The 18,289-nt window shown below is 57.6% G+C and overlaps 1 protein-coding gene across 27 annotated transcripts in view, besides 6 other annotated features; it reads left to right on the top strand.

Moving 5' to 3' along the window:
* Positions 1,158-1,991: an enhancer, noted in NCBI's record as "H3K27ac-H3K4me1 hESC enhancer chr17:73583697-73584530 (GRCh37/hg19 assembly coordinates)". NCBI's record gives its function as "activates a minimal SCP1, AML or CMV promoter by ChIP-STARR-seq in naive H9 embryonic stem cells {active_cell/tissue: H9 hESC(naive)}" and the evidence as "EXISTENCE:reporter gene assay evidence [ECO:0000049][PMID:30033119]".
* MYO15B (myosin XVB) overlaps positions 1,342-18,289 on the top strand; it is a 39,050-nt gene continuing 22,102 nt past the window's right edge. For 8 of the 27 annotated variants that reach the window (XM_017025120.3, XM_017025123.3, XM_017025125.3 and 5 more), the window contains exons 1-20: positions 1,342-2,508; positions 3,163-3,785; positions 4,168-4,231; positions 4,449-4,558; positions 4,714-4,788; positions 5,143-5,254; positions 5,519-5,622; positions 5,780-5,843; positions 5,970-6,083; positions 6,221-6,382; positions 8,017-8,130; positions 8,243-8,301; positions 8,382-8,514; positions 10,002-10,097; positions 10,310-10,441; positions 14,980-15,105; positions 16,059-16,136; positions 16,372-16,487; positions 16,574-16,619; positions 16,730-16,854. In XM_017025120.3, the coding sequence (XP_016880609.1) occupies positions 1,600-2,508; positions 3,163-3,785; positions 4,168-4,231; positions 4,449-4,558; positions 4,714-4,788; positions 5,143-5,254; positions 5,519-5,622; positions 5,780-5,843; positions 5,970-6,083; positions 6,221-6,382; positions 8,017-8,130; positions 8,243-8,301; positions 8,382-8,514; positions 10,002-10,097; positions 10,310-10,441; positions 14,980-15,105; positions 16,059-16,136; positions 16,372-16,487; positions 16,574-16,619; positions 16,730-16,854 (3,362 nt within the window). In that variant the 5' untranslated portion in view covers positions 1,342-1,599. The other 19 variants (XM_017025122.3, XM_017025121.3, NM_001395058.1 and 16 more) reach the window with 19 other exon arrangements.
* Positions 1,494-1,563: an enhancer, noted in NCBI's record as "active region_12770". NCBI's record gives its function as "activates an Ori minimal core promoter by ATAC-STARR-seq in GM12878 lymphoblastoid cells {active_cell/tissue: GM12878}" and the evidence as "EXISTENCE:reporter gene assay evidence [ECO:0000049][PMID:35858748]".
* Positions 1,992-2,823: an enhancer, noted in NCBI's record as "H3K27ac-H3K4me1 hESC enhancer chr17:73584531-73585362 (GRCh37/hg19 assembly coordinates)". NCBI's record gives its function as "activates a minimal SCP1, AML or CMV promoter by ChIP-STARR-seq in naive H9 embryonic stem cells {active_cell/tissue: H9 hESC(naive)}" and the evidence as "EXISTENCE:reporter gene assay evidence [ECO:0000049][PMID:30033119]".
* Positions 1,992-3,213: a biological region, named in NCBI's record as "H3K27ac-H3K4me1 hESC enhancer GRCh37_chr17:73584531-73585362".
* Positions 2,444-2,573: a silencer, noted in NCBI's record as "silent region_8973". NCBI's record gives its function as "represses an Ori minimal core promoter by ATAC-STARR-seq in GM12878 lymphoblastoid cells {active_cell/tissue: GM12878}" and the evidence as "EXISTENCE:reporter gene assay evidence [ECO:0000049][PMID:35858748]".
* Positions 2,614-3,213: a silencer, noted in NCBI's record as "silent region_8974". NCBI's record gives its function as "represses an Ori minimal core promoter by ATAC-STARR-seq in GM12878 lymphoblastoid cells {active_cell/tissue: GM12878}" and the evidence as "EXISTENCE:reporter gene assay evidence [ECO:0000049][PMID:35858748]".

An 18,289-nucleotide genomic window follows, 5' to 3' on the forward strand; every position in this document is an offset into this window, starting at 1 on the left:
TAGGGTGGAACAATCTCAGCTCACTGCAATCTCCGCCTCCTGGGTTCAAGCGATTCTCTTGCCTCAGCCTCCCGAGTAGCTGGGGTTACAGGCATGTGCCACCACACCTAGGTAATTTTTGTATTTTTAGTAGAGATGGGGTTTCACCATGTTGGCCAGGCAGATCTCGAACTCCTGACATCAGGTGATCCACCCACTTCGGCCTCCCAAAATGCTGGGATTACAGGCATGAGCCACCTCACTTGGCCAGGATCCACTTTGGATGTAGAAACCCATCAATAAGGAATTGGTTCAACCATGGTGCATTTATTTGCAAGGAAGAGAGGGAGGAGAGAAGGGAGGAAGGCAGGCTGGCTTTTTATGGTATTATTATGAAATCACCAGATTACATTGTTAAGTGAAAAAGGCAAAGTGGAGACCCCGGAGCTACATAAGCTACCACTTGTGCTAAAGGGGAAAAATATAATATTTGCTTTTCTCTGCATGGAAAGTTTTTGTTGTTGTTTCTTTGTTTTTGAGACAAACAAAATGCTGTCACCCAGGCTGGAGTGCAGTGGTGTGATCTCAGCTCACTGCAAGCTCTGCCTCCTGGGTTCATGCCATTCTCTCCTGCCTCCTGGGTTCATGCCATTCTCTTGCCTCAGCCTCCCGAGTAGCTGGGACTACAGGCGCCCCCCACCACGACCGGCTAATTTATCGTATTTTTTAGTAGAGACGGGGGTTTCACCATGTTAGCCAGGATGGTCTCCATCTCCTGACCTCGTGATCCGCCCTCCTTGGCCTCCCAGAGTGCTGGGATTACAGGCGTGAGCCACCGCGCCCGGCCAACCTGGAAAATTTTGCAAGGAAATACAGAAATGGGTAACCTCAGGGGAACACTGAGTACATAGGCTGAGGGTCAGGAATGGGAGACTTTTATCTTGTAATGTTTGGATGTTTGAATTATGTGAATGTATTACCTGTTTTAAAAATAGATATTTTAAAAACACACACATTGGGGCAATCAGGAATGTATGGGGTGTGGTTCTGTTCCACAACTCCAAGGAGGTAGACAGGCATGTTTTACACCAGTTCAAGATGTACATTTATGTTTTATGTACTTTTCGGTAAATTGTATTTATTCCACAATTGAAAAGAACAAAAACCCTAGCGACTCATGGAGTGCTGCCGTGTGCCAGGGTGGGCCTGGCCCCAGTCCCTTGGAACCCTCAGAAGGAAGAAGTCCAGACAGGTTCTCTGGGCCCTTCCTTGCTGGGCAAGCACTGAGGTGGGAGTGGAGCATGGACCCCCTCAGTCTGGCGCGGTGCGAGGCTGGCCTGGCTGGCAGCGCCTCCCGGCGGCACTGTTGCCCTGTCCGCAGCTGTAGCGTCTCCTGTTTCCTGGGCGCCTCTATTCCATTGTTGGCCGAGGGGGTCAGGACCCGCCGCCTTCTGCATTATTGATGGTCCTGTAAGGCGGGCACCTCGGGGAGTAGAGCCTGTAGCCCCTGCGAGAGCAGAGCCGGGTGGTGCACTGCACAGAAGGTCACCGCGGGAGGCCAAATCCCCGGGGAGGGGAAAGGACCTGGGCGTCGGGAAGCCCGTCTCCTTTGGGCCAGCCATGGGCAGGAACCAGCGCAAAGCGCCCCAGCGCCTGGAGAGGCCCGGGAGGCCGGCCTCAGGGGAGCAGGAGTCGGGGTCGGCCAGCGCGGATGGCGCGCCCAGCCGGGAACGCCGTTCCGACCGCGGGCAGGCGGACAGGGCGAAACCGGCGGCCGAGCCTGCCACCGCCGGGGGCCAGGGAACCCCTGGTGGCCGCAGGAAGCCCACTGCAGAGGGGAACGGCGGCTGCAGACGCCCAGGGGCTGGGCTGTCCCCGAAAGCCCAGGAGAGGCAAAGCAACGCGCAGCGTCAGGGACGCGGGCCCAGGGGCGGCCGCGGGGGGCGCCTGGAGGAGGGAAGCCTCTCCGGAGGAGAAGAGCTGGGCGGCCGCCGTAGGAGGAAGCGGAAAGATAAGGGGCCCTCGGCTCGGCGGGGCCGCCGGACGCCCAGGAGCCTCAATGGGGACACGTCGGGTGGGGACGGAGGCAGCTCCTGTCCGGACAGCGAAACCCGCGAGGCCCAGGAGAGCGGCAGCCAGCGCGGCACAGCCCGGGAGCTGCGGCCCACGCCGGAGCCTACGGACATGGGCTCGGAAGGGACAAAAACCGGGCCGGAGTCAGCGCTGGAGCCAAGCAGCGACGGCCTGGACAGCGACTGGCCCCACGCAGATACCCGGGGCCGGGAAGGGTCGTCGGGGACGGGGCCCCTGGGAGCCAGCGAGCATTCCGGCGGGGACTCCGACTCGAGTCCGCTGGGGACCGGACCTGGACGGGGCTCTCGGGCAGCTATGGCCTCCAGGACCTTCGAGGACAGCTCGCGGGCTCCTCGGGACACTGGGCCGGCCAAGGACGCGAGCGACAACCGGGCGCAGCGGGGCGCCGAGCCAGAAACAATGCAGGCCTCGACGGCCCGGGCTCCGCGCCACCAGGTCGGAAAGGCGGTGGGGCAGGTGCCAGCGGCGGCAGGCGAGGGCGAAGCGGGAGCCGCAGCAGGAGCGGGGCCGGAGGACCCAGCCCCGCTGGCGGCCCTCCTGGTGGTCCGCAGGCTCCTCGCGAGGCCCCCGCCAGGCGCCGCTTCCCAGGCCGTGGGCCCCCGCCGCGCTGGCCTCAAGGAGCGGCTCCTGAGTGTAGCGCGAGCCCTGGGCCTCCTGCGCTGGCTGCGGCGGCGGCTGCGGCTGCGGCGGCGGCCGCCAGAGGGCGAGGGGCAGGGTACCGGGCCACGGGCGAGCGAGGGGTGGGGCCGCCGGAAACCGGACGAGGGGCGGGGTCATGGGAGAGGAAGCAAGGGGCGGGGCCGCGGGAAAGCGGATGAAGGGCGGGGCCACGAGCGAGGGGACGAGGGTCGGGGCCGCGGGAAAGCGGACGAAGGGCGGGGCCACGAGCGAGGGTACGAGGGGCGGGGCTGCGGGAAAGCGGACGAGGGGCGGGGTCACGAGAGAGGTGACGAGGGCCGGGACCACCAGAGAGGGTACGAGGGGTGGGGCCGTGAGCCCGGGCTGCGGCACCGTCTAGCGTTGCGCCTGGCTGGCTTAGCAGGGCTGGGGGGTATGCCGAGGGCTTCCCCTGGTGGCCGCTCCCCGCAGGTCCCGACAAGCCCAGTCCCCGGCGACCCTTTTGATCAGGAGGACGAGACTCCAGATCCCAAGTTCGCGGTCGTGTTCCCCAGGATCCACAGGGCAGGGCGGGCGTCGAGCAGCCGCAGCTCTGAAGAAGCGTCCGCAGATGCCCCCACGGGGGAAGGCCGAGGTTGGCCTCGTGCAGGGGTGGGGGGGCACAGTGAGGGGTGCAGGACGAGTGGGGAAGGGGTGTCCGGGCTTCGTCGCGGCTCCCTCCTTGCCCCGACTGCACCCGACGGGCCTTCCCTCGACGAGAGCGGCTCCAGCAGTGAGGCGGAGTTGGAGACCCTCAATGACGAGCCCCCGGTGCGCTGGGCGCAGGGCTCAGGCCCCCACGAGGGTCCTAGGCTTGGCGCCGCCGTGCTGCTACCCCGACTCTCCTTGGAGACCCGCCTGCAGCAGGAGGGAGACCCGGGCCTCCGTGGGTCCCTGAGGGAGCTGTGGGAACCCGAGGATGAGGACGAGGCGGTGCTGGAGAGGGACCTGGAGCTGAGCCTCCGGCCGGGCCTGGAGGCGCCACCCTTCCCCGGTGCCAAGGGCAGGAGCCTCGGAGACGGCCTGGAAGACATGGAGGACCTGGCGCGGTTGCGGTTAGCGGGCGCGGTGCCAAAGCTGCCATCCCCGGCTCACAGCTCCTCATATCCACCCTGCCCTCATCTTTATGAATTGCGTGTAGACCCTTATTGAATCCTTAGAAGGATGGGCTTGAACCCTCCTGGCAGGAAGGGGCAGGTAAGGGGCAACAGGTGCTACGTCCCCAGGACCGCCTTTCTAATTAGTACAAAGCTTCCTTCTGGGTCAGAGCCAGCCCTCCTTGTAGCCTGCGCATTACTTGACAGCTCAGCCCCCATTTTATGGATCAGGCTCTGGGAAGTTGAATGACTTGCCAGGGTCCCTGCAGTGGGTGGCAGAACTAACCCACAACCTCCTGCAGCCACAACTTGTCATGCCTCCACCCTGTTGTCCCTACAGGCTGGTGTGTGACAGCTCTGTGCTGCTGTGCCTCAAGAAGAGATTTCACCTGGGCCGTATCTATGTATGGGGAGCCACGGGGACGGACAGTGGGCGGGGATCCCCTTTTCTCTGGGGACAGAGGGCTCCCTGGCACCCCTGGAGATTCTCCTTCCTCTTCCTCCCCGGGCTAGGCGGTGAACCCTCTCTGGAGCCCTGCAGAGTGGGACTGAGGGGCTGGGCTCTGTTTGCATTCCCCCTGCTCCCTCCACACTCTGATGAGAGCTTGTTTTCCTCCCCAGACCTTTGGGGGGCCTGTCTTGCTTGTTCTGAACCCCCACCGGTCCTTGCCTCTTTTTTCACCTGAGGTCCAGGCAAGCTACCACCCCAGGAAGGCCCTCAGCACCACTCCGTATGTGACTCTGCCCCACTGACCCTCTGCTCACCTCCCAGGCAGCCCAGTCCCTGCATGTCCCCTTGACTGAGGTCCCGGGGCCTGTGAGCACCTCTGCTACACCTCGGAGGGTCCCAGGTCCCCATGTCTGGCAACCTTCTCATCTCCCTCAGACACATCTTTGCCATCGTGGCATCAGCCTATGACCTGGCTCAGAATACTGGGCAGGACCCATGCATCCTCCTGTGGTGAGTGGTGGCCTTCCTGGGTGGCTGAACCCATGGGCCACACTGAGGGTTGATGGGGCGGGGCCTGAGGTCTTCACTGGAAGCCACTGGTATGCTCCACTGCTGGGCTACAGTTCTGGACTCCTCAGGGCCGAGCTCCTGGCTGAAATCATCACATGAGCCCCTGGAATGTGGCATCTTGGGGACTTTTTCTTTTCTGTCGGGTCTCTCCATGCCCTGGGACTATCTTTCCACATTTATGGGGGTCTCTCCAGGCTAGCTGTCACTTCTGGGTGGCACATCCCACTTCCTGGGTTCACTGGGGTGGTCCTATGTGCCCCTCCCTGGAGACCCTACCAACCAACACATCCTTAGCTCCTCCCACTGCAGTGGGCACAGTGGCTCAGGGAAGACGGAAGCCGCCAAAAAGATCATGCAGTTCCTAAGCAGCCTGGAGCAGGATCAGACGGGGAACCGAGAGTGTCAGGTGAGGGCCAGGCTGGAGGTACCTCATGGGTTGAGCTGGCCGTCTGTCTTCCTCCAGGGGACAGCTGACCATGTCCAAGGGACTATCTTTCTCCTTTCAGCCAGGAGAGGGGTGGTCTCCAGGCCTCTGGCGTCTCCTGGGGTCAGCTGCAGGCACTGCCCTTTCTGATGGGACTGACGCCTCCCTGGACCTGCCCCTAGCTGGGATGCCTGCTGGTGGGGGCTACTGCTGCCCAGGGATGCTTGAACACCCCTCCCTGTACAGGTGGAGGATATGCTGCCTATACTCAGCAGCTTTGGCCATGCCAAGACCATCCTCAATGCCAATGCCAGCCGCTTCGGCCAGGTCTTCTGCCTCTACCTACAGCAGTGAGTGGCAGGGTTGCAGGGGGCACCTACAATCACTTACCCTTCCTGGGTCCTTGGGCTGCTTCCCTGGGGTCCAGACCCTGGTAGGGCTTCTTCTGCACGGGGCCCCTGGGTGTTCTGCATCCTGGGCACTCACACCCATCTTCTGTGCCCACAGAGGGGTCATCGTGGGAGCCTCTGTGTCTCATTATCTACTTGAGACCTCCAGGGTGGTGTTTCAGGTAAAGGCAGCCCTTCTATCCACCCCTGCCCAGTTCCCAGAGTAGGAAGGGCAGAGGGTGTCACTGTCGGGGTGTGGCCTCTAAGCCCCTAGGGCACTGAGCCCCTAAGCCAGTCCTGTCCCCAAGGCCCAGGCTGAGCGGAGCTTCCATGTTTTTTACAAGCTGCTGGCAGGGCTGGACTCCATAGAGCGGGAGCGGCTCTCCCTGCAGGGACCGGAGACTTACTACTACCTCAACCAGGTCGGGGGAGCCCTTGTGGTGCGGCGGGGAGGCCTGCCCAGAGGAGGATCTCGGCCCGGAGGTCTGAGGAGTAGCCGGAGTAGAGGGAGGCTATGGGGTGGCAGGCCCCGCTCCCTCACCCCTGCTGTGCTCTGCAGGGCCAGGCCTGCAGGCTGCAAGGCAAGGAGGATGCCCAGGACTTTGAGGGGCTGCTGAAGGCACTGCAGGGGCTCGGCTTGTGCCCAGAGGAGTTGAATGCCGTCTGGGCTGTGCTGGCCGCCATCCTGCAGCTGGGCAACATCTGCTTCTCCTCCTCAGAGGTGGGCTTCCCCGTGGGCAGGGGCCATCTGGGGTGCTGGGTCTGTAGAATCAGGGCAGTGGTAATGACGCCAAATGCTGGTGTGTAGGAGACTACAGAGTGCTGGGCTGCCCTGAAAAGTGGGTAGATCCCCACTGTGTAGATGAGAAAGCTGAGACATAGAGCTTCTCCACTCTCCCAATGTCTGTGCCTCTAAGCTGCCACCCCTAAGAACATCTGGCATTAGATGAGCAGCTATGGTCAGGCATGGTGGGTCACACCTGTGATCCCAGCACTTTGGGAGGCCGAGGCAGGAGGATCGTGTGAAGCCAGGAGTTTGAGACCAGCCTAGGCAACATAGAGAAACCCCGTCTCTATTAAAAAAAAAAAAAAAAAAAAAAAGGGTTGGCGGTGGTGGCTCACACCTGTAATCCTAGCACTTTGGGAGGCCGAGGTGGGTGGATCACTTGAGCCCAGGAATTCTAGAGCAGCCTGGGCAACATGGCAAAATCTTGTCTCTACAAAAAATATGAACAGATTAGGCCAAGGCGAGCAGATCACTTGAAGTCAGGAGTTTGAGACCAGCCTGGCCAACATGCTGAAACCCTGTCTCTACTAAAAATACAAAAATTAGCTGGGTGTGGTGACACGTGCCTGGATGTGGTGGCACATCCCAGCTACTTAGAGAAGCTGAGGCAGGAGAATTGCTTGAACCCGGGAGGTGGAGGTGGCAGTGACCTGAGGTTGCGCCACTGTACTCCATCCAGCCTAGGTGACAGAGCGAGACTCCGTCTCAGAAAAAAAAAAAAAAACAAAACAGACTGGGCGTGGTGGCTCATGCCTGTAATCCCAGCACACTGGGAGGCCTAGATGGGCGGATCACCTGAGGTCAGGAGTTCGAGACCAGCCTGACCAATATGGTGAAACCCCGTCTCTACTAAAAATACAAAATTAGCCAGGTGTGGTGGCACATGCCTATAATCCCAGCTACTTAGGAGGCTGAGACAGGAGAATTGCTTGAACCTGGGAGGTGGAGGTTGCAGTGAGCCAAGACTATGCCATTGCACTCCAGCCTGAGCAACAAGAGCGAGACTCAGTCTCAGAAGAAAAAAAAAAAAAAGATTAGCTGGGCATGGTGGCATGTGCCTGTAATCCCAGCTACTGGGGAGGCTGAGGTGGAAGAATTACCTGATCCTGGGAGGTGGAGGCTGCAGTGAGCCTTGATCGTGCCACTGCATTCAGGCCTGGGTAACAGAGTGAGACCCTGTCTCAAAAAAAAAAAAAAAGAAAAAAAAAAATCAAACGAGCAGCTGTTATGTACCTGGGTACTGTGTAAATCACTTTGCATTTGTTTTCTAATTTAGTTTGCAAGACAACCCCCTAGGAAGGGTTACTGCTTCCCCTTTAGCAGTGAGGCCGTGGGGCGCAGGAAGGAAGGAGCCTGGCCAGAACTGTCCGCCAGCAAAGAGGGAAAGTAGGACTCGAACTCAGGGCCCTGAAAACCATAGCCTCGCTCCTAATGGCCCAGATCTCCTCATGTGACATATCTCCCCTTTGGTGACAGGGCCACTTACCAGGCAAAGCCCGGCCTGCCCTGCCTGGGGAGTGTGTCCATTCCTGAAGCAGAGATCTCCCTGTCCCTCCCTCTCTGTGTAGCGAGAGTCCCAGGAGGTGGCTGCTGTGTCTAGCTGGGCTGAGATCCACACAGCAGCCCGACTGCTGCGGGTACCACCAGAGTGCCTGGAGGGGGCTGTCACCAGGAGGGTCACGGTGAGCCCGAGGGTCCTGGGGAGAGGGGCCTGGCCTGGCTGACCCACAGGCTGAGTAAGCACCATGAGGGCTGCAGGCCTGACACACCAGCTGTGCCTCCTCTGCCCTCCAGGAGACGCCCTATGGCCAGGTCTCGCGATCCCTGCCCGTGGAAAGTGCCTTTGATGCCAGGTGGCCCTAGAGACGGGTGAGAGTCAGAGCAGGGCCCGAGGCACGGCTCTATGTGGCTCACCCACCCGCCATGCCTACAGGGACGCCCTGGCCAAGGCACTGTATTCCCGCCTCTTCCACCGGCTTCTGAGGAGAACCAATGCACGGCTGGCACCACCAGGGGAGGGAGGCAGCATTGGCACCGTCACTGTCGTGGATGCCTACGGCTTTGAGGTCACCCCTTGGGGTGGGGCCCAGGAAAGGGGGCACCCATATAATTCCGATGGATTTCTGGGACCCCCACAGCTCCAGCTCTCCCTGGGGGCACTCGCGAGGTGCTTGTCTGTCTGGCAGGGCGCTTTCAGGGCTCCTTCTGCATCTGCTGGGCTGAGCCTGCTGGGGTGGGGTGCAGGGATGGAGAGGTAAAGGAGTGGGGCTGCCTCTGAGGATTTAGAATCTCTCAAGGACTAGGGCTGTCTGCGCGCCTTGGAGTTCTCGCTTCCACTCACCTCCAGAGGACGATGCCCCTCACCCCACACCCACGTTCATCCAAGCATGGTCTCTGCTCCCTTTTCTGGTCCTGGGCTGGGCAGCCTGGGCCGGGAGTGCTCCTGGCTTCTCTGGGATGGCTGGAGCCCACCACAAGCCCCAGCCCTGGCCCGTGCTGTCCTCCTGCTGGGAGGAGTTGCTTAGTGCAGCAGACAGAGCAGAGGCTCTGAGTGGTCCTGCCACTCACTAGCTGTGTGGCCTTGGGCAAGTGGATGAACCTTTCTGAGGTCCAGCGTTCCCGTCTGTAAAACAGAATTCCCAGCAGGACCTACCTTGTGAGTTTCAGAGGCTTAACGGAGATAGTCCATGAGAGAGCTGTGTGCTCCAGGGCAGCCGTTCTGTCCCACTCTGGCCGGTCCTGCCTTTGGCATGGCCTGTCCTCCGTGGCCTTGTAGAGACGCAGGAGTCTCAAAGGCAGTGGAAGACAGAGGCCCCAGGGTGGGCCCGCCTGTAGCCCCACTTCCCCCACGTCAGGAGGAAAGGGAAGAGGGAGAGTCCCCCAGTCTCTCTCAGTTGGCAGAGGCTCTGCACCCCTTTACAGAGGATCCTGCCGCCTCAGGACAGCCAGGAGGGGGCTGGAGGGAGAGGAGGTGGCCCCTGCCCTCAGTCCCTGGACGGGCACTATTCATGGCCCCCTGTTCTGTCCCACAATCCAGTGTGTCCTTGTGACCGTGCCCTCCCTGAGGCTGGTGGTGATGGTGGCCTGTGTGTGCATCCAAGCTCCTGTGTGTGTGTTTCAAGGGGCACAAAGCTGCATGAAGCTTCCTAAGAGAGTGCTGAGGGAGCACTTCCTATAGGAGGAAGGCTGGAAGGCTTCCTGGAGGCAGCAGCCTGGAGCCCTGTGCATGAGGATGCGGGACTCTGATAGCCAACCTGCTATTTAGTAGGGAAAGTCGCCTTCCAAGCCACAGGATGGCCGTGACAAGAGGCCCAAAGGCTCGCAGGAGTGCTGCAGCAGAGGGCAGGGGTGTGGGCAGCTAGAGGGACCTGTGGCTGGGCAGGGCTGAGGTAGCCCGTGTGCTGTGCCGGATCCTTTAGACTTGACCCTGTTGGCTACACAGCATCAGCCCTGGGTATTACTCATCCCTGCGCCCTGGCCAGAATGAAGGAAGCCTCTGGGGTGGGGGGAGGGCACAGCCCCATGTGCCCACCTCACTGCCACATGCCCCCAGGCCCTGCGGGTGAATGGCCTGGAGCAACTGTGCAACAACCTCGCCAGCGAGCGCCTACAGCTCTTCTCCAGCCAGATGCTGCTGGCCCAGGAGGAGGTAAGAGGATTGGGCGTGGACGTGGCAGGGGCCGCTCAGGCATTGCCCAGGCAGAGGCCATCCTTGGTGAAGGAAAGTTGGGAACTGAGAGCTCTGCCTGGAAGGCCCCTTTCCATGAGGTGTCTCAGTCTTCTGAGCCTCAATGTACTATTCTATAAGATGGGAGGGTTATCCCTGCTCCTGCAAAATGGCCAAATGCCGGCTGTTCCCAGGAGGAGTGTCGGCGGGAGTTGCTGTCCTGGGTGCCTGTCCCTCAGCCTCCGAGGGAGTCCTGCCTAGACCTCCTGGTAGATCAGCCCCACAGCCTCCTGAGTATCCTGGACGCCCAGACATGGCTGTCCCAGGTAAGGGCCAGGATGGTGACCCCCCACCCAGTGTCGGGAAGGAGTGGAGGCCCTGGGTGTCCAGGCTGTAGCTGGCAGAGCCTCCCAGAGGGGACAAGGTTATGGGATCCAGCGACCCTGATCACAGTTCCTCAGCACAGCCTGGGACAGCAGCAGCGAAGGGGAAGAACCCTGGGCTCCCGCAGAGCTGGGTTCACATCTTGTCTCGGGGTGATCTTGAGCATGACATCTGGCCTCTGAGGTTCCTCACGTACCTGCCACAGAAGGGGGACAGTAGTGCCCGATGGGCAAGGTGGCGGGGACTGCACGAGGCTCATGAAGGGCTTCTGCAGGTCCCTCACAATTGTGGCTAGGTGGCCACTGAGGCCTCTGACTGGTCGGGGACAAACCCCAGGGTACCATGTCCCCCATTCCACAAATGCTTTCTGACTGCCTCCTGCCTGCTCAGACTTAAATAGCAGCCTCGTCCCTGTTTCCCGTTTCAGCGCGCGTCCACATGCAGTCACAGCGTCTATTCATTCACTGACTCCTTACCGCGCCAGACTGGGCTCCACAAGGGCGGGTGCCCGTGTGAAGGGTTTGAGCTCTATCTGCAGCACGTGTTAAGGAAATAATGAATGAATGAATAACTGTGCCAGGAACTGTGCTAAGGATAAAAGGTGAACAAAATTAGACCCAGTCTCTCCCCTCTTACAGCCCGCAGTGCAGCAGGAGAGAAATGTTCATTTAAAAAAACAGGCCTTGGCCAAGCTCAGTGGCTCACGCCTGTAATCCCAGAACTTTGGGAGGCCAAGGTGGGTGGATCCCTTGAGCCCAGGAGCTCGAGACCAACATGAAAAAACCCTGTCTCTACAGAAAATACAACAATTAGCCTGGTGTGGTGGTGTGAGCCTATAGTTAGAGCTACTTGGGAGGCTGAGGTGGATGGATTGCTTGAGCCCAGGACGTCAAGGATGCAGTGAGCCATGATCATGCCACTGCACTCCAGCCTGGGTGACAGAGTGAGAAGTTGTTTCAAACTAATTAATTATAAAAAAACAAACCAAAAACGCAGAGCCAAATACAAAATCACCCCTGTGCGGCTCCGTGGGTGGGCGTGTGGGGCAGGGAGAGTTGGGGGGCGTCATGAGCCTCTAGGAGCTGAGGCTGGAATGTGGAGCAGGAGTTTCTGTGGAAGCTCAATATAACGTGATCCTGAATATGGGGCAACCCTCCCCCATTTTCCCAATTAGTGGTTGAGAATGAAAGGTGAGCCAGGCATGGGAGGCTGAGGCAGGAGAATCGCTTGAACCCAGGAGGCGGAGGTTGCAGTGAGCCGAGATCGTGCCACTACACTCCAGCCTGGGGACAGAGCAAGACTCCGTCTCAAAAAAAAGAAAAGAAAAGAAAAGAAAATGGGCCAGGCGCGGTGGCTCACGCCTGTAATCCCAGCACTTTGGGAGGCCAAGGTGGACAGATCTCGAGGTCAGCAGATCGAGACCATCCTGGCTAACATGGTGAAACCCGGTCTCTACTAAAAATACAAAAAATTAGCCGGGCGTGATAGTGGGCGCCTGTAGTCCCAGCTACTGGGGAGGCTGAGGCAGGAGAATGGCGTGAGCCTGGGCGACAGAGCGAGACTCCATCTCAAAAAAAAAAAAAAAAAAAGAAAATGAAAGGTGAAAAACAATGGTAAAATCATCAAATGTTATTGTAATAGTTCGTTGATCACTGTCATATTAATGCAATACATGTCTTCATGTACTATATATTGATATATAACAAGTCACATTAATATATGATATATAATGTTCATTTATTAATACTTATACGTATGTAAAGTCTTGTACTAGATAATTAAGAGAGTGTTAATTTCTAAACGATTGTTTCTCCCAGTTCACATTTCATAATGTTTTGTTAAAACTTGTCACGAGTGTCTTTGAGGTCCCAAGATCACTTTTGGAATCCCCCAGCATGGATTTCCAGGGCTCAGCAATATCACTTAGGTCTATGTTATGTGACATGTACCATTTTCTGAGTCCGAGGTGGGTGCTGAGCCTGGAATTGTTACCCCAAACCCAAGTTCTCATTTACATAATATAGGCAAGTTCCCCCATGCACTTGCTATTTTATGTTCATTAGCTCAGTAAAATAACGTCCAACTAAATTACTTTTTAGTTTTATTTTTATATTTTAAAAAATAGAGATGGGGTCTCCCTATGTTGCCCAGGCTGGTCTCAACCTCCTGGGCTCAAGCAATCCTCCCACCGTTGCCTCTCAAAGTGCTGGGATTACAGGTGTGAGCTACTGCACCTGTCCTTGAGTTACTGTGTGTGTTTGTGTATGTGTGTTTTAACTGACTCCTACTATCATTCCCAACTGAGTTACTTTTTGAAAGTGATTTTTTTTTTTTTTTGAGACAGAGTCTCGCTGTTGCCCAGGTTGGAGTGCAGTGGCGTGATCTTGGCCCACTGCAAGCTCCGCCTCGCGGGTTGACGCCATTCTACTGCCTCAGCCTTCCAAGTAGCTGGGACTACAGGCACCCGCCACCATGCTTGGCTAATTTTTTTTTCTTTTTTTTTGTATTTTTAGTAGAGACGGGGTTTCACCATGTTAGCCAGGATGGTTGATCTCCTGATCTTGTGAGCCACCCACCTCAGCCTCCCAAAGTGCTGGGATTACAGGCACAAGCCACCGCACCTGGCCTGAAAGTGATCTTTGAAAGACTTGGTTAAAAGCACATGTAGGCCGGGCGCGGTGGCTCATCTCTGTAATCCCAGAACTTTGGGAGGCTGAGGCGGGCAGATCACGAGGTCAGGAGATCGAGACCACAGTGTAAACCCTGTCTCTACTAAAAATACAAAAAATGAGTCGAGCGTGGTGGCGGGTGCCTGTAGTCCCAGCTACTCGGGAGGCTGAGGCAGGAGAATGGCATGAACCCGGGAGGTGGAGGTTGCAGTGAGCCGAGATCGTGCCACTGCACTCCAGCCTGGGTGACAGAGCAAGACTCGTCTCAAAATAATAATAATAATAATAATAATAATGAAATAAATAAATACAAGCGCATGTGATTCTGGGACTATTCTCCCAGGAATGGTTGCTAAATCTGTACTAAAGCTCCTCATCTCTATTTCTTTTTTTTTCTTTTTTCTTTTTTTTTTTTGAGACAGAGCCTTGCTCTGTCGCCCAGGCTGGAGTGCAGTGGCGTGATCTCAGCTCACTGCTGCAAACTCCGCCTCTCGGGTTCACGCCATTCTCCTGCCTCAGCCTCCCGAGTAGCTGGGACCGCAGGTGCCCGCCACCATGCCCGGCTAATTTTTTGTATTTTTTAGTAAAGACGGGGTTTCACCATGTTAGCCAGGATGGTCTCGATCTCCTGACCTCGTGATCCACCTGCTTCGGCCTCCCAAAGTGCTGGGATTACAGGCGTGAGCCACCGCGTCCGGCCTAAGAGTGATCTTTGAAAGACCTGTTTAAAAGCACATGTGATTGTGGGACCATTCTCCCAGGAATGATTGCTAAATCTGTACTAAAGTGCCCCATCCCCATTTCTTTTTTTTTTTTTGTTTAAGTACTTACTTATTTTAGAAATGGGGTCTCACTCTCTCACGCAGGCTGGAGTGCAGTGACACCATCATAGCTTACTGCAGCCTCAAGCTCCCAGTCTCAATCAGTCCTTCCACCCAGCTAATGTTACTTTTTTCTTTTCTTTTTTTTTTTTTTTGAGACGGAGTTTGGTTCTTGTTGCCCAGGCTGGAGTGCAATGGTGCGGTCTCGGCTCACTGCAACCTCCACCTCCCAGGTTCAAATGATTCTCCTGCTTCAGCTTCCTGAGTAGCTGGGATTACAGGCATGAGTCACCATGCCCAGCTAATTTTTTTGTATTTTTAGTAGAGACAGGGTTTCACTATGTTGGCCAGGCTGGTCTTGAACTCCTGACCTCAGGTGATCCACCTGCCTTGGCCTCAAAGCGCTGCGGTTACAGGCATGAGCCACTGCGCCTAGCCCCACCCAGCTAATTTTTAATTTTTTTTTTTTTTTTTGAGATGGAGTCTCGCACTGTCACCCAGGCTGTAGTGCAATGGTGCCATCGTGGCTCACTGCAACCTCCGCCTCCTGGGTTCAAGTGATTCTCCTGCCTCAGCCTCCTGAGTAGCTGAGATTACAGGCACCTGCCACCACGCCCAGCTAATTTTTTGTATTTTTAGTAGAGTTGGGATTTCACTATGTTGGCCAGGCTGGTCTCGAACTCCTGACCTTGTGATCTGCCTGTCTCGGCCTCCCAAAGTGCTGAGATTACATGCGTGAGCCACCGCGCCCAGCCCAATTTTTAAATTTTTTGTAGAGATGGGATCTCACTAGGTTGCCCAGGCTGATCTCGAACTCCTATCCTCAAACGATCCGACCACCTCGGCCTCCCAAAGCGCTTGTTTTGGGGAACAAAGCCAAACCTACCCTTATAGTCAGTGTAGGCAGTACTCGTGCTCACCGGGAGAGGGCGCCATCCAGAAGGACAGCCTGTGCAGAGGCGTGAAGGGAGCTCATGGCTCCTCTCCTAGGCCACGGACCACACCTTCCTCCAGAAGAGCCACTATCACCATGGTGACCACCCCAGCTATGCCAAGCCCCGGCTGCCCCTGCCCGTGTTCACCGTGCGACATTATGCAGGGACTGTCACCTACCAGGTACCTGGCCTCAGGGACAGACCAGGGTGAATCAGCGAGGGCAGTGTCCCCTCCCAAGCTGAGTCACCCGACAGCGGAGAGGAGTGGGTGTGGGGAGGCCCCTTGCAAGGCTTGGACACCTGTCCCTACCTGAGCCATGGGCCCTGCCCAGTTCTGAGCACGGTTTACTGAGTTCTAGGTGACAATTATGGGGTCAGGGAGTGGAAGCCTTGGGACCCTCCAGACAAGTGGGCAGAGCACAAGCATGGGACCTGATGACCTTGGCAGTTTACTTCGCCTTCTGAGCCTCCGTTTCCTCACCTGTAAAATGGGTATGGAGACCTAAGCTCTGGCGTTGCTGTGAGGGTGAGATGTAGTAACGTGGAGATGGCCTGGCAGGTGCCTGGCACATAGTAGGTGCTCACTGAATGGACTTCCCTTCCCCCTTCCGAGTTCTATGCCTACCAAGAAGCTGCACGCGTGCCTACCCCAGGAGGAGAGGAACTGGGGGTGGGGGAGCGGGGGCTGGAATAAAGGGAAGGGCAGTAGGGAGAATCAGTTCTCCCTGGAGGAGATGGCACACTTTGCTTGGAGAAGAAAAACTACAAACTACCCAGGAGTTGCCCCCAAAAAAGAAATACAAGGAGTTCAAGAAAGCTAGGAAAATGTAAATCAAAATAGATTTAATATGGAGAGACAGACAACATTCTTGTCTAGTCAACCTATTGACTAGCATAGGTTAAAGCCCCAGTGGGGAGAGTGTGGTCTTGCTGGGGACTGGACCTGTCCATGGGGTGGAATGGAAAGTCCAGTGGCAGACCCAAGGCTAGGTAAAGGGCTGGAAACACCAAGGCAGCCTTTCAGGTCACCTGGGGAGAGGGTAGATTCTTCTCCTCCATATCCAGCCTCCCCTCCTTGGTTCCTGTTCTCCTCCCTTTCTCCACTTCCCTCCCCACCTGCATGGTCTCTTGCAGGTTCACAAGTTTTTAAACAGAAACCGGGATCAGCTGGACCCTGCTGTGGTGGAGATGCTTGGCCAGAGCCAGCTCCAGGTGCCCATCTGCCCTTCCAGGCCCCCACCCGCTCCATACTCTGTCCCCCAATTCTGTCCTTTTCCCCCTGGGCGCTCTTGCCCAAGGGTTGGCCCTCAAGTCCCTGGCACCTTGGGCCATGGGCTGAGCTTGCCAGGGTCTGGATGCCGAGGGCTGGTCCATTCTGGCTCTCCCGGGCTGCAGGGTGGATGGGCACGCCCCAGCGGCCAGCTGACTCAGCCCTTCACCCCCACAGCTGGTGGGCAGCCTGTTCCAGGAGGCAGAGCCCCAGTCCAGGGGAGGGCGAGGCAGACCCACGCTGGCCTCTCGCTTCCAGCAGGCCCTGGAGGACCTCATAGCCCGGCTGGGCAGGTAAGAACAGCGCCCGCCACACCAGACCCCAGGGAGTTGTATGGGGCTCCAGTCTGTGCCCGAGTGACCCCTCTTTCCCTCATCAGGAGCCATGTCTATTTCATCCAGTGCCTCACCCCTAACCCTGGAAAGGTGAGCTCCCCAGCAACTGGCCTCAGGGCCCTCCCCCTCCCTGCACCTCCCTCCCCACAGCTCTAGGCCCCTTGACTCCAGCTGTCTTTGGCTCTGTCTTGTGGCCACAGCTTCCAGGCCTCTTTGACGTGGGACATGTGACAGAGCAACTGCACCAGGCAGCCATACTGGAGGCCGTGGGCACCCGCAGTGCCAACTTCCCCGTGCGTGTGCCCTTTGAGGCCTTCCTGGCCAGGTGGGGCCCAGCACCTCGGGGCAGGACTGACAAGGAGGCCACCGGGAGTGACTGGCAGCCCCGGGGGTCCTTCTGATTGGAGATGGACTCACTCTGCCCAGGACTGGGCCTAGCACCCAACCCTCCCTCTCTCTCCTCGTCCTCTCATCCTCTCTCTCTCTCTCTTTCTCTCTCCATCTCACTCTCTTCTACCATTCACCATCCCTCCACGCATTCGTCATTTCTTCTCCTCTCTGCAAACCTCTCCTGTGCTGATGCCTGGGCACCAGAGATGAGGTGGGAGCAGTACCTGCCCTAGGCGGGGCTCACGGTCTAGTGCCCACAGCAGCTGTCCAGGGAGTGCAGGCTGAAGCAGTGAGATGGCAGGGGGGACGGAGTGAGAAAAGAGCCTCTCAGAAGGGCAGGAGGGGCGGGGAGGGGCGGGGTGGCACATGGAGCTGCCAGGAACCCCAGAGGCAGCTCTGTTCCCAGAGTTCAGAAACCTCCAAGAAAAGCTGGTGGCATTGTCCGTTTTGTTGTTTGCCTATCTGGCCTTTGGCTATTGACTGGATGGCATCTTGGGAATCCTCTGAAGGGCTGGAGTTTACCCCAAGCACAGGGACAGAGGGAGCAGGTGGAGTCACTTCTCGTTGATGTCCAGCTGAGCTGGGCTGGTGGCTGCCTCAGAAGGGAGGGGGCAGCTACTAGGAGCAGCAGCCTCACCCCAGGGCTCTGTGGACCTCCTTAGCCTGTGATGGCCTTGGCAATGGGGATGGCCTGGTTGGGGGACTGAGCAAAAGGCAGGCAGTAGGGATGGGTGTTCCCAGCCTTGAGTCAGATCCTGAGAAGCTCCAGGGCGGGGCACGTTCTGTCTCTGCCATCTGGAAACCTACCAGCTACAGCAATTGTCACCTCCAACAAGAACCCCTGAGCCCGGAAGCTGGGTGAGAGGAACCTCCAGGTACAACTCTCCACCCAGCACAGACCAGGTCTGCTGATCTGTGCCATTCCCTGATGCACTGTGGCATCCCGTGACCACAGACTGTCACCCACATCCCCAGAACCTGCACGGTGCTTGCTTGGTACAGACTAACTACTGAGTGTCCATTAAGCCAAACTGGTACCACCATCTGGACCTGTGAAATGTCCTTCAACACTCCCCCACCCACCCCTTCCTGCCACGCCCCTCCCTCCCTTCCACGTCCCTCCCTCCCACGCCCCTCCCTCCCTTCCATGCCCCTCCCTTCCACACCCCTCCCTCCCTCCCTCCCACAAACTTGTCTTGAGACCTACTGTGTTGGGTGGCGAGGAGACGAAGGCCTTGGGAACCACATTCCTGTTGCTCCCGTGGCCCAGAACCAGCCCTCATGCCTCCTGCGCACACCATGTTCACCTGTTCTCCCCCTGAGCTCCAGCGCAGAGACCCTCCCTGCCCAAGTTCACTGCAGTGTCTCAG

The sequence above is a fragment of the Homo sapiens genome, chromosome 17 (genome assembly GCF_000001405.40).
Source record: "Homo sapiens chromosome 17, GRCh38.p14 Primary Assembly".
NCBI lineage: Eukaryota > Metazoa > Chordata > Mammalia > Primates > Hominidae > Homo > Homo sapiens.